This window comes from Homo sapiens, chromosome 5 (assembly GCF_000001405.40).
Source record: "Homo sapiens chromosome 5, GRCh38.p14 Primary Assembly".
NCBI lineage: Eukaryota > Metazoa > Chordata > Mammalia > Primates > Hominidae > Homo > Homo sapiens.
This window is the reverse complement of record NC_000005.10, coordinates 64,715,844-64,729,343: the sequence shown is the minus strand read 5'-3', so window position 1 is coordinate 64,729,343 and position 13,500 is coordinate 64,715,844. Positions and strand designations below refer to the sequence as shown.

Below are 13,500 nucleotides of genomic sequence, written 5' to 3'. Positions count from 1 at the left end.
ACATGCACTACCCTTGCTGTTCACTTAGAATGCTATCTTTGCCTGTTAATTTTCTTTCTCACCACTTAACTATAAGTTCCCTGTGGGCAAGGATCATGCACAGCAAAGACCCAGTACATAGCACAGTACTTGACACATAAGCATTTAGTAAATATTTGTTGAATAAATGAAAGCGTGGTCAATAAAAATCTCCTAGGATTTTATGAGACAAACTGATGTCTATTCTTTACCTTGCCAAATAACCCCAAGGCTTCCTCCCGAGTAGCTGGGAGTACAGGCTCCTGCCGCCACGCCTGGCTAATTTTTTGTATTTTTAGTAGAAATGGGGTTTCACCATGTTGTCCAGCCTAGTCTCGAATTTCTGACCTCATGATCCACCCGCCTCGCCTCCCAAAGTGCTGGGATTACAGGCATGAGCCACCGCGCCCAGCCTGCTTTTTCTTTAAATATACACAAGTTCTGTCACCCAGAAATACTTCTTATATGTACAAAGATTTCCATTGCTTATTGTTTCTAACAATGAAAGTAGAAATTGATAAAATATGGTTAATGGGAACACTTCTGTGTTTAATAATGATATATATTTAATGACAAAGATAAATATCTGCTATGTTAAGTGAAAAAAAAGCTGCAAAATATATGTGACAGTACATTTTTCAAAGGCAAAAAATACTTGGAACTTATATGCAACTATGTGTGTATGAGTAAATGTGTGTGTATTTGGTTTTATATAAAGAATGCCTACAAGAATACACACCAAATAGTGTATTTAAAAAACAAGTTAGAGAATAATACATATTGCATGATCCTAATTTTGTTGCAAAATAAAATTTTAAAACTGTGCACTGTTGTAGTGTTCTGCTTTTTAAGGGCCAAACAATACCCATCAAACCACTGGCCTTGATTTCCTATGGGAATTAGAGGTGGGGTACTTGCATTTTTTTACTTGATGGACTTAGTATTTGAAATGTTTATAAAAAACATTTAATACTTTTATGAGTTTTTTAATGGATAAAGATAATTAAGAAAGGGGAAAATTATTACAAAAATTATCCTAACCAGTGAAATTCACCAACAGCTAAAATTTTAACATATATACATGCCATATTAATATATAGAATCATATATTAACCAGATTTTTTTCTTCTCACCTCTCCCCCACAGGAATAAATGAAGAAGAGGAAAAGAAGAAAGAAAAAAGCAAAGAAAAAATCAAATTGAAAAAAAAAAGGAAAAGGTATTTTTTGAACAACATTTTAAAAAACAAAGCAGGCCTATGAGTTTAGGATGGATTATAAAATTTTATTTTTTGTGTATAATAGTTAATTTAATATTTTTTCTTCAACAACTAAGCTTTTCATTGAGCTTAAGTTTAAACTCTTAATATATATTTTGTCTTCATATACATGAAATTGACTAAAATATTTGTATTCTTGTAATATTACCATGGCTAATAAATTAACTTATTAATAGAATTTAATAGAACTTGTCATGCTGTCCAGGTGCGATGGCTCATGCCTATAATCCCAGCACTTTGAGAGGTCAAGGCAGGAGAATGGCTTGAGCCCAGAAGTTTGAGACAGGCTTGGGCAACATAGGGAGACCTCATCTCTGCAAAAAGTAAAAGAAAAATTATCCAAGTGTGGTGGCATGTACCTGTGTTCCCAGCTATGTGGAAGGCTGAGGTGAGAGGATTGCTTGAGCCCAGGAGACATGATCACACCACTGTACTCCAGCCTGGGCAACACAGCAAGACCCTATCTGCCCCCCGCCCACCAAAAAAAAAAAAATATATATATATATATATATATATGTAATTATATGCACATACACACACCTTTGTATTTATATGTATTTAGCCTGACAGTTTCATATATATATATATATATGGTGGCTGATGAGGGTTGTGAAAGACCTGAAGGAATTTTTAGCATCACAACTTCCTTCCAGTCTTCGGCCACCTGTGCATTTTTACTATTAACTCTTTTAAAAACTAACTGGTTAAAGAAGTTATTGAAAGTAGTAAGTGGCCACTTCTCTTGTTAATGCGTGCAGTTTCATTCATACTAGCATAAATTTGCACATACAGGCATTTTTTAAAAGCACTTAACCATAATTATTTCTAGTTTAGACCCAGTTCTCATACAGAATAGGTTGTAGAAACCAGGGGCTGCCACTTTGTAGTTTTTATAGAGCATTTAATACATGTATTTTAATATTTCAGGTATCTTATAAATTGGAAAAGTAGCCCACTTTCAAGCGTTAGGAGTTAACTAATAATCTTTAATATAAAAACAAATAGGAATTTAGAGCTCAGGGTTTTCTGTTAATGTATTATTAAATCATTTATTCTAGCACAGGAAGATGGATTGCTCACAGGAAATGATATCTGATAGTCTTCCAAATTCTAATACAGATAGTTCCCAATTTATGTGGTTTGATATGATCTTTCAACTTTATGATGGTGCAGTAGAAATGTACTTCAAGTACCCATACAACCATTCTATTTTTCACTTTCAGGACAGTATTCAATAAATTACATGAGATATTCAATGCTTTATTATAAAATAGGCTTTGTGTTAGATGATTTTGCCCAACTAGAGGCTAATGTAAGTGTTCTGAGCATATTTAAGGGCAGCCACGTTAAGCTATGATGTTCAGTAGGTTAGCTGTATTTTGTGTATTTTCAGCTTCAGATAGATTTATCAAGGCGTAACTCCATCATAAGTTGAAGTACATCTGTATATTTCTTTTTTTTTTTTTTTTTTGAGACAGAGTCTCGCTCTGTTGCCCAGGCTGGAGTCCAGTGGCACAGTCTCAGCTCACTTCAAGCTCCGCCTCCCGGGTTCACTCCATTCTCCTGCCTCAGCCTCCCCAGTAGCTGGGACTACAGGTGCCCACCACCATGCCCGACTAATTTTTTTGTATTTTTAGTACAGACAGGGTTTCACCGTGTTAGCCAGGATGGTCTCAATCTCCTGACCTTGTGATCCGCCTGCCTCAGCCTCCCAAATATTTTTTATAGTAACAGATTATTTATTTGGGCCTCTTTACCTTGAGCATCACAAACCTGAAATTAAATTAACTTTTCTGTGCACACTTAGCAGAGATAGTGCCCCCTGAAAGTGTTGCTATGCCACAGCCTGAAATTTTGCCTTAAAAAGGAGACTTCAGGCCAGGCACGGTGGCTCACTCCTATAATCCCAGCACTTTGGGAGGCTAAGGTGGGTCGATCACCTGAGGTCTGGAGTTTGAGACCAGCCTGGCCAACACAGTGAAACCCCATCTCTACTAAAAATACAAAAAAAATTAGCTGGTGGATTACAGGTGGGTACCTGTAATCCCAGCTACTTGGGAGGCTGAGGCAGGAGAATTGCTTGAACTCGGGGGAGCGGAGGTTGCAGTGAGCCGAGATCACGCCATTGCACTCCAGCCTGGGCAACAAGAGTGAAACTCTGTCTCAGAAAAAAAAAAAAAAAAAAGAAACAAACAAAAAAAAAAACTTCAGGACCAAAAAGCTAAAGAAAAAAGTGCAGGCAGGGAAGAAGCTTTAGTCAGAATCCAGAGGTCAAGTCAAACAGGGTCTTTAAAAGAGGAAAATAGACAAGATTTGAGAATAACAACTGAAGAGGCAAGGGTGCAGGAGAATACATGAGAAAATAAGCTTTAACAGATGATTGGAAGTCTAAGTAAGTAGACAAACAAGGAGGAAAAAGGAACACAACATTACAAAAATAAGGGAAAACTCGGAGTCACTAAAGGAGGAAGGCAGTCAAGGAATTCACACACTATACAGACACAAAATAGCCTTGGAGCCCTGTAGTCTCCTGAATTTACATTGGCACCTCCTTTATATCCGTCTCAGATTTTCTTAGTTTGAGTTTTAACTCCTAATATTTAGATCACTAAACTAACTCTTTAGATACCTTTGTTTACATTTTAAATTAACTCAGTTTCTGTCTTGTCACTCATATTTTGAGTTTGAGTATAGGTAGAATGTTGCACATCTCTTTAAGTAAGATCTTAAAAGATAGGGTTTTCTGTTTTTTTCTTTTTCTTTTCCTTTTTTTTATGAATATTAGAGGAAGGAATTGAACCAATTTTTTCAATTTAGTATTAGAGTAATATTTTTCAAAAGCACAATGATAACCCATCCTTTTTCATTTATATATAGCATAAAAGCATCCTTTTGTAACTAATGAAAATTATTTTGTAATGCAAGTATTCATCTGTATCACTCTCCGTCTAGAGGGATCAAGTACTTGAAAAATCAGAAGAATTACCAAAAGTGCTTTTATTTTGCTAACTTTCAGCTTTCATTCATTCATATGAACGTACAATTATAGCCCTTTAAAATAGAGAATTGCAACTTTTGAGACACTTTTAAGAAAATATGCGAAGTTATTGTATACACAAGTGAATATAATAAGGCTTGGTGAATGCCCCTTTGTTTGCCTTTTAGGATTTTGAATGATATGACTGCATGAAAAACCAAAAATCACAGAAAAATAATTTCATCCTTATTGACTTTAAAACTCATTACATTAGTATTGAGTGGAATAGATACTAGTTTTGTTGGTTTCTGTGACCAAGCAGCAAAAATTCTAAATTCATCGTTTTAAGGGAATGCAAATATATGAAGCATTTTTTAAGTTTATGTTTATACTCCCTACCTTACTCCAAGAAGAATTTAAGGCAGTTCAAATCCCACTTAAATTTATCTATCAGTCATAAATGCAATTCTCAGTCAGTATGTATTATTATCCATAGGTCTTACTCATCCAGTTCCACTGAAGAGGACACTTCAAAACAAAAGAAACAAAAATATCAGAAGAAAGAAAAGAAAAAAGAAAAAAAGAGTAAATCAAAAAAAGGGAAACATCACAAAAAGGAAAAAAAGAAGAGAAAAAAGGAAAAGCATTCTTCTACACCTAATAGTTCTGAATTCTCCAGAAAGTAACTGAGACTTTGGCTTAAGCCGTTAAATTTAAAAATTTGTTTTTAAAACGTGTTTGCCCTTCCTTGGAATTTGCTATATATTATGCTTTGCAATAAATCACAGCCTTTTCCATATAGACATTTTTCGTATTTGGGACCATTATCCCTCTGGCAATATATTTTTAATGTGCTGTAACTGTAAAGTATTAAATCAGTCTTGTTACTTGATAGCCATGCCCCAAGTATAGCTATTTGTGTATACTAAACACATCATTTTTGGTATTTGTGTCTCTGTGTGTTTGGCTAGTGTTACTACTTCATAAGTTCATTGTAAAATGGCTTTACTGCCATCAACATGGGTCATCTACCTAGCAGTTAATGAGTATTGCTGGATCAGGTGTCCACCTTCCAATGATGAAGCAAGGTAAGGGGTAATGTTTTGCTCTTGACACAGAGAAATTTAATAGCTTTATGTACTAAAATATAATATCTTTTAAAGATAGTGAAATTCTTCAGTTTTTTAAATCTCTAGGGATTTTTTTTCAATGTTGTAGAAGATGCAGCTGCTTAATGGTCTTGACTAGGACTTTTTAAATGAATGGTGTCTGCAGGTAGATGATCATGAAAATATCTCTAACAAAGTTTTACTCTTCTATGAAATGCAGAATTTCTAGTACCTGCCTCCTTTGTTTTTGTAATAATTAAAATACTTCTTGTATAAAGAGATTAGTTCAGCCTGTTAGTAAGTCTGCAGAGATGATGCTGAGTTGGTTGTGATTTTTAGAATAGACTCCTGGGTTGTTTTACAAATGTGCCATATTGGCATGTCTTACAGTGATACCTCAAACACAGAAATTTTTATTTAGGAAGATAGCTAAATCTTTATTAGAACTGATTTTTATTGTATTCAGTATAAATTTTATGAAGCTTGTTTCTATGAGTACTGTGGAAAATTTTATAAATGTGAGCATATATATTTATTTTGTCTGACATAATTTGTAGTTTTAAAGCAAGTTTCACACTGAACTTAACGTTTTCATAAATGACCAGTTTGGGATGTTTCTCTCTTTTACTTTAGTGGCAAACTCAAGAGTAAAAAGTGTCAAAAAAAGAATTGAGAATTTTATTCTGTACTTTTTAAAATTTAAGAGCCAGGGAGTTGCATCATGAAAGCCTTTGTATAATAATGGAAATTTTATATGGGTAAGCATTTTCAAACACATATTAGTAGATACGTTTTTTAAATTTCTATTTTCACATTGATCAGTGTTACTTTGCTTAATACTTAGGTAGCCCTTATGTCCACTAAAGTAAATGCTTATGTTGTAGAAGCATCGAACATCAACCAATGTCATGGCACAGCACCAAAGATTGCAAATACCTCACTATGGTGCGCTTAGAAATTTTCAAATTGATAACCTATAGATACGGCTGCAGGTGAATTCATGATAGTGAAATCAGCTAAGTATACTTAACCTCACAGGCTAGAAAGGTTTACTGATTCTTGTTTCACCTGGCACCCAATGTGGATACCCTCAGTAAGACTCAGGGAGCCTTATAACTCCTCTTAACATATGCTTACCCATGCTTAAATTCTAGGGAAGCTGTATCCACAGCCCTCTGCATTGCAGCCATGAGAGCTCTCACGCTTTCAACCCTTCCATAACCTAATTTAGTCATTTGGGCCTCTCAAAAGGAAATGCTTTTGTTTAAATAGGTCAGTCAGTTACTGGGAGAAAAAATACAGAGCCAGTAGGTTTTTAGGGATTTGTTTTGCCTTTGCTGCTAGTTTTTTGAAAATATTCTTCGATTATCAAGATTTTAAAAATCGGTTTTTAATATAAAGCTTTTTTAAAAACGAGGCTGGCACAAGTGCAGTGGTGTTTCTTTACTCCCACTGCTTGACTTGACTAGCCTTGAAAAAATAACAGTAAAATAAAATATTAAAAAATAATTAGAAAATGCTACAAAGGCAATGACCTTATTCCATTGAGTAAGATAGTTAAAAATGATAGTAATTGTAGTGAAATAGTTAATTACTTGTAAGTTTTATTACTGTTAATTGTAGAGATTATAAATTGGCTCATTAGGTTTCTGAATGGTGACACAATAATGACTGAGAAGAGCAAAAGTCAGTCCTCGTTAACTAATGTAGTATGCAAATTAAAATATTTTAATGATCAGTAATTTTCCCCCCAGAAATGATGTTGGCATTTCTAAGTAAATTTCCCATAATTTTAGCATAGTTTATGAAATTGAATAAAAATTTATTTTCACTGAAGTAATTTTCTTCTAATATGATATTATTATTGAGATTGGATGCAAATCTCATGAATATGTTTTAGAAGAAAATTAATGAAATTCCCTCCCAGGCAGTATGTACCAGAAGGAAAACTGAATTTAGCAGTAAAACAGTCCTGGTCATTCTAACTACCTGTATGATCTTGAACAAAGTCACTTAGTTTCCCTGGGCCTTGGTGTCTTTCGTCTATAAAATATTGTACCAGATTATCTCTGAAATCACTTCAAGGTTTAATATATATAATTATCAATATTTTAAAATTCAAGCAATATTCACTTTAGAAATTATTATAACATTCTATAATAGTAAAGGTTGAATTTATTAATATAATAAACACGTTCAACTTCTTCAAGCAGATAATTGATATTTGGTTCATATTCTTACAACCTAATGCATGTCATTTTCACCAAATGCAGGCAGAATTTATATTTAGGTTTGCATCTGGAACTAGATTATCTGGCACTTTATGGCCATTATTTTTGGGTTGATGGACCTTCTCACCACACAATTTCCCCCTTTTTTTTTTTTGCATATCATATGTTGGTTGATATTTCTCAGAGGTATCCCTATTTCTTCATACTTAATATACATCTCCATTTACATCTTTGACTCTCTGAGGTCAAAACAACAATAAATGAGAAGTAAAACAACTATATGTGTTTGTATTTACAACTGTATCTAAAATTATATAACCCTAGTTTACCTTCAGAGTAAACTAGGCTGAAGAGTTGTTAATAATGTTGATAAAAATGCCATTGAATCCTTTCTTCAACAAATATTTATTGAGTACCTAACGTGGCAAACGCTGTGCTAAGTACTGGGGATACAGAGATAAGTAAGACACATTTGCCTCCCTGAAGGACTTCACAGTGTAGTTGGTAGGAGAAACACCAGAGCATACACCGTTATATAATTAGTGCAGTAATTGACATGAACATGAGTTTATAGAAACTCGGGGTTACCTAAAGTAGTCTGGATAAATTAGAAGAGGCTACCTAGAGAAAGTAGTGACTGAATTGCAATTTGATTAAGGATAAGAATGAGGGTTATGGCAGTTCCTGACAGAGTGGGTACTGTGAACAAACACCAGAGGTAGAACAAGCTGTGTTATGTGTTTGTCAAGAATTACAAGCAATCTGGTGTTGCTGGTGTATCATAGGCGAGGCAGGAAGTGGTAAGAATTGAGACTACCATTTTAAGTTCTTAGGAACAGGAGGAAGGAGTCGTGTGTTCCGTGTTTGGGAGCTTGAACTGTAATGTGTAAGCAATGAGACACCATTAAAGAGTTTCAAGGGGGGCCGGGCACAGTGGCTCACGCCTGTAATCCCAGCACTTTGGGAGGCTGAGGCGGGCGGATCACCTGAGGTCAGGAGTTCAAGACCAGCCTGGCCAACTTGGCGAAACCCTGTCTCTACTAAAAATAGAAAAATTAGCCGGACGTGGTGACAGGCACCTGTATTCCCAGCTACTCTGGAGTCTGGGGCAGGAGAATCGCTCAAACCCAGGAGGTGGAAGTTGCAGTAAGCTGAGATCACACCACTGTACTCCAGCCTGGGCGACAGAGCGAGACTCTATCTCAAAAAAAAAAAAAGATTTTAAGGAAGGAAATGACTTTTATTAGGGTTTGGTTTTATCAATTTCATAATCCGATTAATCCCACCATTTTTAAAAGATGAAATTGCTTTCATTAGAAGGCTACATAAAATATAATTTGATTATTTTAGGCTCTATTATTAGACTCACATTTCTTTCTACAGTCTCATTATTATTTCCAAAAATTACACAGTAACCTAAATCATCTAAAAACACATAAAGCTACTGTATTCTTTATTAGATCCATCCCCAGAGTTATATGTACATGTACATACTTTGAGATGTGTTTTGTTCTTAATTGTATTTTAGGTTATTTTTGACTGACTTAAATTCTATCACTATTTTAATATTTGTTAGGTCCGAATAAACCATTTAGAATATTTTTCAGTGTACAAAATGTGCTGTAATTTAATAAGGCCCCTTGCTTTTAAAATTTGGCTTAACCTGTGAAGCACAACTGCTTCAGAGTTACAGAGAAACATACCAGTTGGTCCACTGGATGAGCCCTGTGGTTCTACCTCAGGTAACCTAGTGATAAGCTAGCTCAGCAGGGAGTGCTTCAAGGACTCCAGCTGATCCTAGTGCTGAGACCAAAACTTCCTGGACATTGGGTGCCCAAGAACAGTAGGTTTCTTATACCAGTGTGACAATAATCCCAGTTGCGAAGGCCAGTCTTCTGATCTCAGTATCTCCTCCCAACTCCTCTAAAAATAGGTAGAGTGGCAGAGAATTGGGGTGCCTCTTCTATAGCACAACCCATGATGCATCCAGTCATGCCTGACCCCACTATGCCTTTCCCACAAATTGGGAGGAGTTGGGGCAGTGAGCATTTTGCTAGCTCTGTCTGTTTCTTGCTTCTTGTGCCATTTATAGTCCTTGGCCATGAGCAACAAAAGTAGAATGGTGCCAGTGCCTTAACTAAATTTTTCTCAACCTAGATTTTCACCTGAGACAATATGGTAATATTATTAAATTACTGTAAAGATAGCAAATTTTCTGGGATACTTTAAAATCAAAGTTGTATCAAAGATCAAGAAGCACCCATAAAAGCTTTATAAACTTTCACAAAAAATAAGTGAAAATTCTTTGTTTTTATGGCCGTGTAAAATGTCATTTTTATAATGGAAATGTCTTAATTTTCAAACTTAACATATACTTTAAGCAATTTTAGTATTTAAACCTTTGCAAAATTGTATTTTTGAATGTGAAGTTCAACTTTGGCAGTAGGTTGTTGCAATAGTGATCTGGCACTATGGTGCCAGTATAGCCACATAGGGTTATTTAAATTAATTAAATAAATGAAAAATTTTATTTTTTCAGTTGCATTAGCCACATCTTAAGTGTTCAGTAGCCACATGTGACTGGTGGCTACCATATTAGTGCAGATATAGAAAGAACATTTCCATCATCACAGAAACTTCTCTTAATTCTGGTCTAGAAGATAACCTTAGTACTTGGTAGAAATTTTGACAGGCTAATGACGAAAAGTTTGTAACCCTGAGCTTTGCATGCCCAAGAAAAATAAGGTATTCTTTTTTATATATCAGACCAGAGAAGCTGTATTCAGCACATTTTGAAATGCTAGTTTTTGGCTATGGCCATACCACCCTAAATGTGCCAGATCTTGTCTGAAATGCTAGTTTCTGACTACAAAAACTACAGGACATAGTAGATATGCTCAGTAGAGCTGCTTAAAATAATTCCCTTTTTTTTTCTGTTGAATTCTGTTACAAAACCAGGTCTGTGTTATAATAGAAAACACACTTATGAATAAAAATCTTTAAAAATTATAATTTGCAGAAATTAGTTTTATTTCTAGATTTCTAGGTGGTATTAATGTGATAGCATTAGGTGGGACCAGAGAACTCATTTGTTTTGTAGCTTTCATTATACAGATTATTTAGGAAATATATCAGCAAAGGATTTTTTGTTATGCTTATCTCTTGAAACAAAATATTTATTGTACAGATTATACATTGTGATTTTTTTGTTACTGAGTATATTGTTTGTGCCCAGAAAAATCTAAAAAGATGTGGGTTGACTTCTAAGAGATTTAAGAACAAGTCACCTCTAGTTTTTAAGACAGTTCCCTTGATATTTACCTATCCAGTACCATCTCATAAGAATAACTGCCTGTAAGTATCAGAAAGTTGAGAAATGCTGGTAATGTGACATAAACTTCTCACTGTTCTTCACTGAGATAGGACTGCTTATCTTGTTATTGATAAATTATTTAATTTCTCCTGAATAATTAGCATAATCTCATGTGATACAGAAACATCTTAATTAGCAAATAAATTTATACAAAGGAAAACCAATAAAACCTTAATGTGCGTTTAATAAAGTAACTGAATGATCAAAAATGCAGCTGTGTCTTGCTTTGTGAGTGACGAATTTTTGAAAAGCAATATTACAAACCGTTTCAAGTGCACGCTTTATTTTTATTGTCCCATCTCTCCAGTAAGCATTTAAAACACAGAATTTTTAGTTAATAAGCAATGTGGATTTGTGTTGCATCCATTGTTTTTTCTTGAATTATATCATCAGCTTCATAGTATGTTTCATTTGTTGCATTTGATGCTGCATTTGAATTGAGGGCTTTGGTTTTTCCATTTGACTTGCCTGCAGATACACAAAACAAAATAATTATTTGAAATTATGACATCGTTTCACTTATAAAAATTTGCACTTAAAAATAATTTTTGTAGCAATATTGAAAATATGATGTCCTGAAAATGCTATGTGTATGAGTGAGAATTGAGTTATTTTGAAGTGGTTTTTGAGTATTTCCTTATGAAAGTCAAATAAGGGAAATAATTCAGTAATAAAAAAATTTATTTCCATGCTTACCTTTTTTCCTCCATGCTTCCATGAGGAAAATAACTACACATCTGATAAGAAGGTAACAATTTCTGAGTGACTTAACAAAAGTGTGACTGTCCCTCTCCTATGCATAAACTACACTAAAGCCAATCATAGTAACTTGCCCAACCTTAAGGCTTTGCCATTATAACTGATTTAGATGTGGTTTATTAAAAGGACACAGTAGTGCCACAATCCCATTCACTCACTCCATATAAATATGAGTCCAAAATGAGCAAAGGTGAAGGAATATGGATCTTTGCTGATCAGAAGTTAGTCTAAACAAACATAGCAAAGAAATGGATTATTCAATGAACAGTGTTAGGAAAAGTTGAATGATTGTAGAAATAATTAATGTATCATTTCACCAATAGAAAATAACATAAATACGTAAAGAACAGTGGAAGAAATCACAGACATTACTAATGACCTCAGTGTTGCTAAATGCACAGTCCAGTTCATTCTCATCTTCTTTGATTTCTTAGCAGCAGTTGATCCAGTTATTTCCTTGGCTTCCAGGACACCATTCTTTTTTACTCCCTGCTACTTCACCATTACTAATTACCTCCATGTTGCTAAATCCACAGTCCAGTGGCCAAAAACCTCTGGTCCTTGATGCCTCTCTTTTCTCTCACCCTACATGCAATCCATCAGAAATCCTTGTTGACTATACTTTTAAAATACATTCAGAATCAGACCACTTCTCACCATCTTCACTGCTACCACTATTCTGTTTTCAGCACAACATTCAAAGAGCTATTCTTTAAAAAATAAGTTGAATCATGCCCTCTGCCGAGAACCCTCCATTCACCCAAGTCTTATACAGTGGCCTACATGATTTCATACACACACCATTAACCTCTGACTTCATTTTTTTCTACTTCATTCTTTGGTTCACTCCAACCTCTTTGATTAAACATTTCAGGCATGTTCCAGCCCTTAGGACTTTTGCACTGATTATTCACTCTGTCTACTATGCTCTTCTTCCAGATAATCTGCACAATAACTCACTTTTTTCCAAGTCCTTCCTCAAAAGTCATCTTCTCAATAAGACCTACCCAAAACATTACTTAAAATTGCAGCCTCCATATCCCCATCACCAACCCCTTCTGTCCTCCATTTCTCCCCCCAAAGCACTTATTAACTAATATAATTTACCTATTTATCATGCTTATCAGTTATTGTCTATCTCCTCTCACTAAAATTTAAGTACCACATTCCAAGAAACTTTTGACTATTTTGTTCATTAATGATGTGTCTATAAAAATGCCTTGCACATAGTTGTTCAATAAATATTAGTTGAGTGTATTAATAAAGGATAAGACAGAAAACTTTAAAACTGAGTAGCAAAAGACAAGATTGAAAACCAACTAGCAAAAAATATTTAGAGCAAATAATGCATGCCTAATATGTAAAGATCTTACATATCAACATGTAGGACATTAACACCTTTTAGTGAGTGAAGAAAGTGACCGAAAAGATAAAATGGCTAATAAACATGAAAAAGTTTTAATCTTGCTAGTCAGAAGGAAATGTAAATTTGGAAGGTGAGAAACTGTTTCTCATCTCTCAATTAGGTGAGGGTAAAAAGTAATTTTTCTTGGTCAACGGTGTAGCATGATGGGAGTGTAAATTGGTGCATACTTAAAAGTGTCAAATGTTCCTACCCTGTAATTCCGCTTTAACAAGAAATTCCCAAGGAAACCATCAACGATGAGATCTAAAACTTACAGACATCTTCTTCACTGGTTATTTTAAATACCAAGAAATGAAAGTACCTTAAATTTCCAATGATAGAATTGCTA

At 34.6% G+C, this 13,500-nt stretch overlaps 2 protein-coding genes across 2 annotated transcripts in view; one reads left to right on the top strand and one right to left on the bottom strand.

Annotated features, from left to right (window-relative positions):
- Positions 1-11,196, top strand: part of SREK1IP1 (SREK1 interacting protein 1) — a 50,544-nt gene extending 39,348 nt beyond the window's left edge. The window contains exons 4-5 of the mRNA NM_173829.4: positions 1,165-1,237; positions 4,771-11,196. Of these exons, the coding sequence (NP_776190.1) occupies positions 1,165-1,237; positions 4,771-4,960 (263 nt within the window). The 3' untranslated portion in view covers positions 4,961-11,196. The remainder of the gene's footprint in view (positions 1-1,164; positions 1,238-4,770) is intronic.
- Positions 11,154-13,500, bottom strand: part of SHISAL2B (shisa like 2B) — a 27,688-nt gene continuing 25,341 nt past the window's right edge. Inside the window, exon 3 of the mRNA NM_001164442.2 lies at positions 11,154-11,455. Within this exon, the coding sequence (NP_001157914.1) occupies positions 11,322-11,455 (134 nt within the window). The 3' untranslated portion in view covers positions 11,154-11,321. The remainder of the gene's footprint in view (positions 11,456-13,500) is intronic.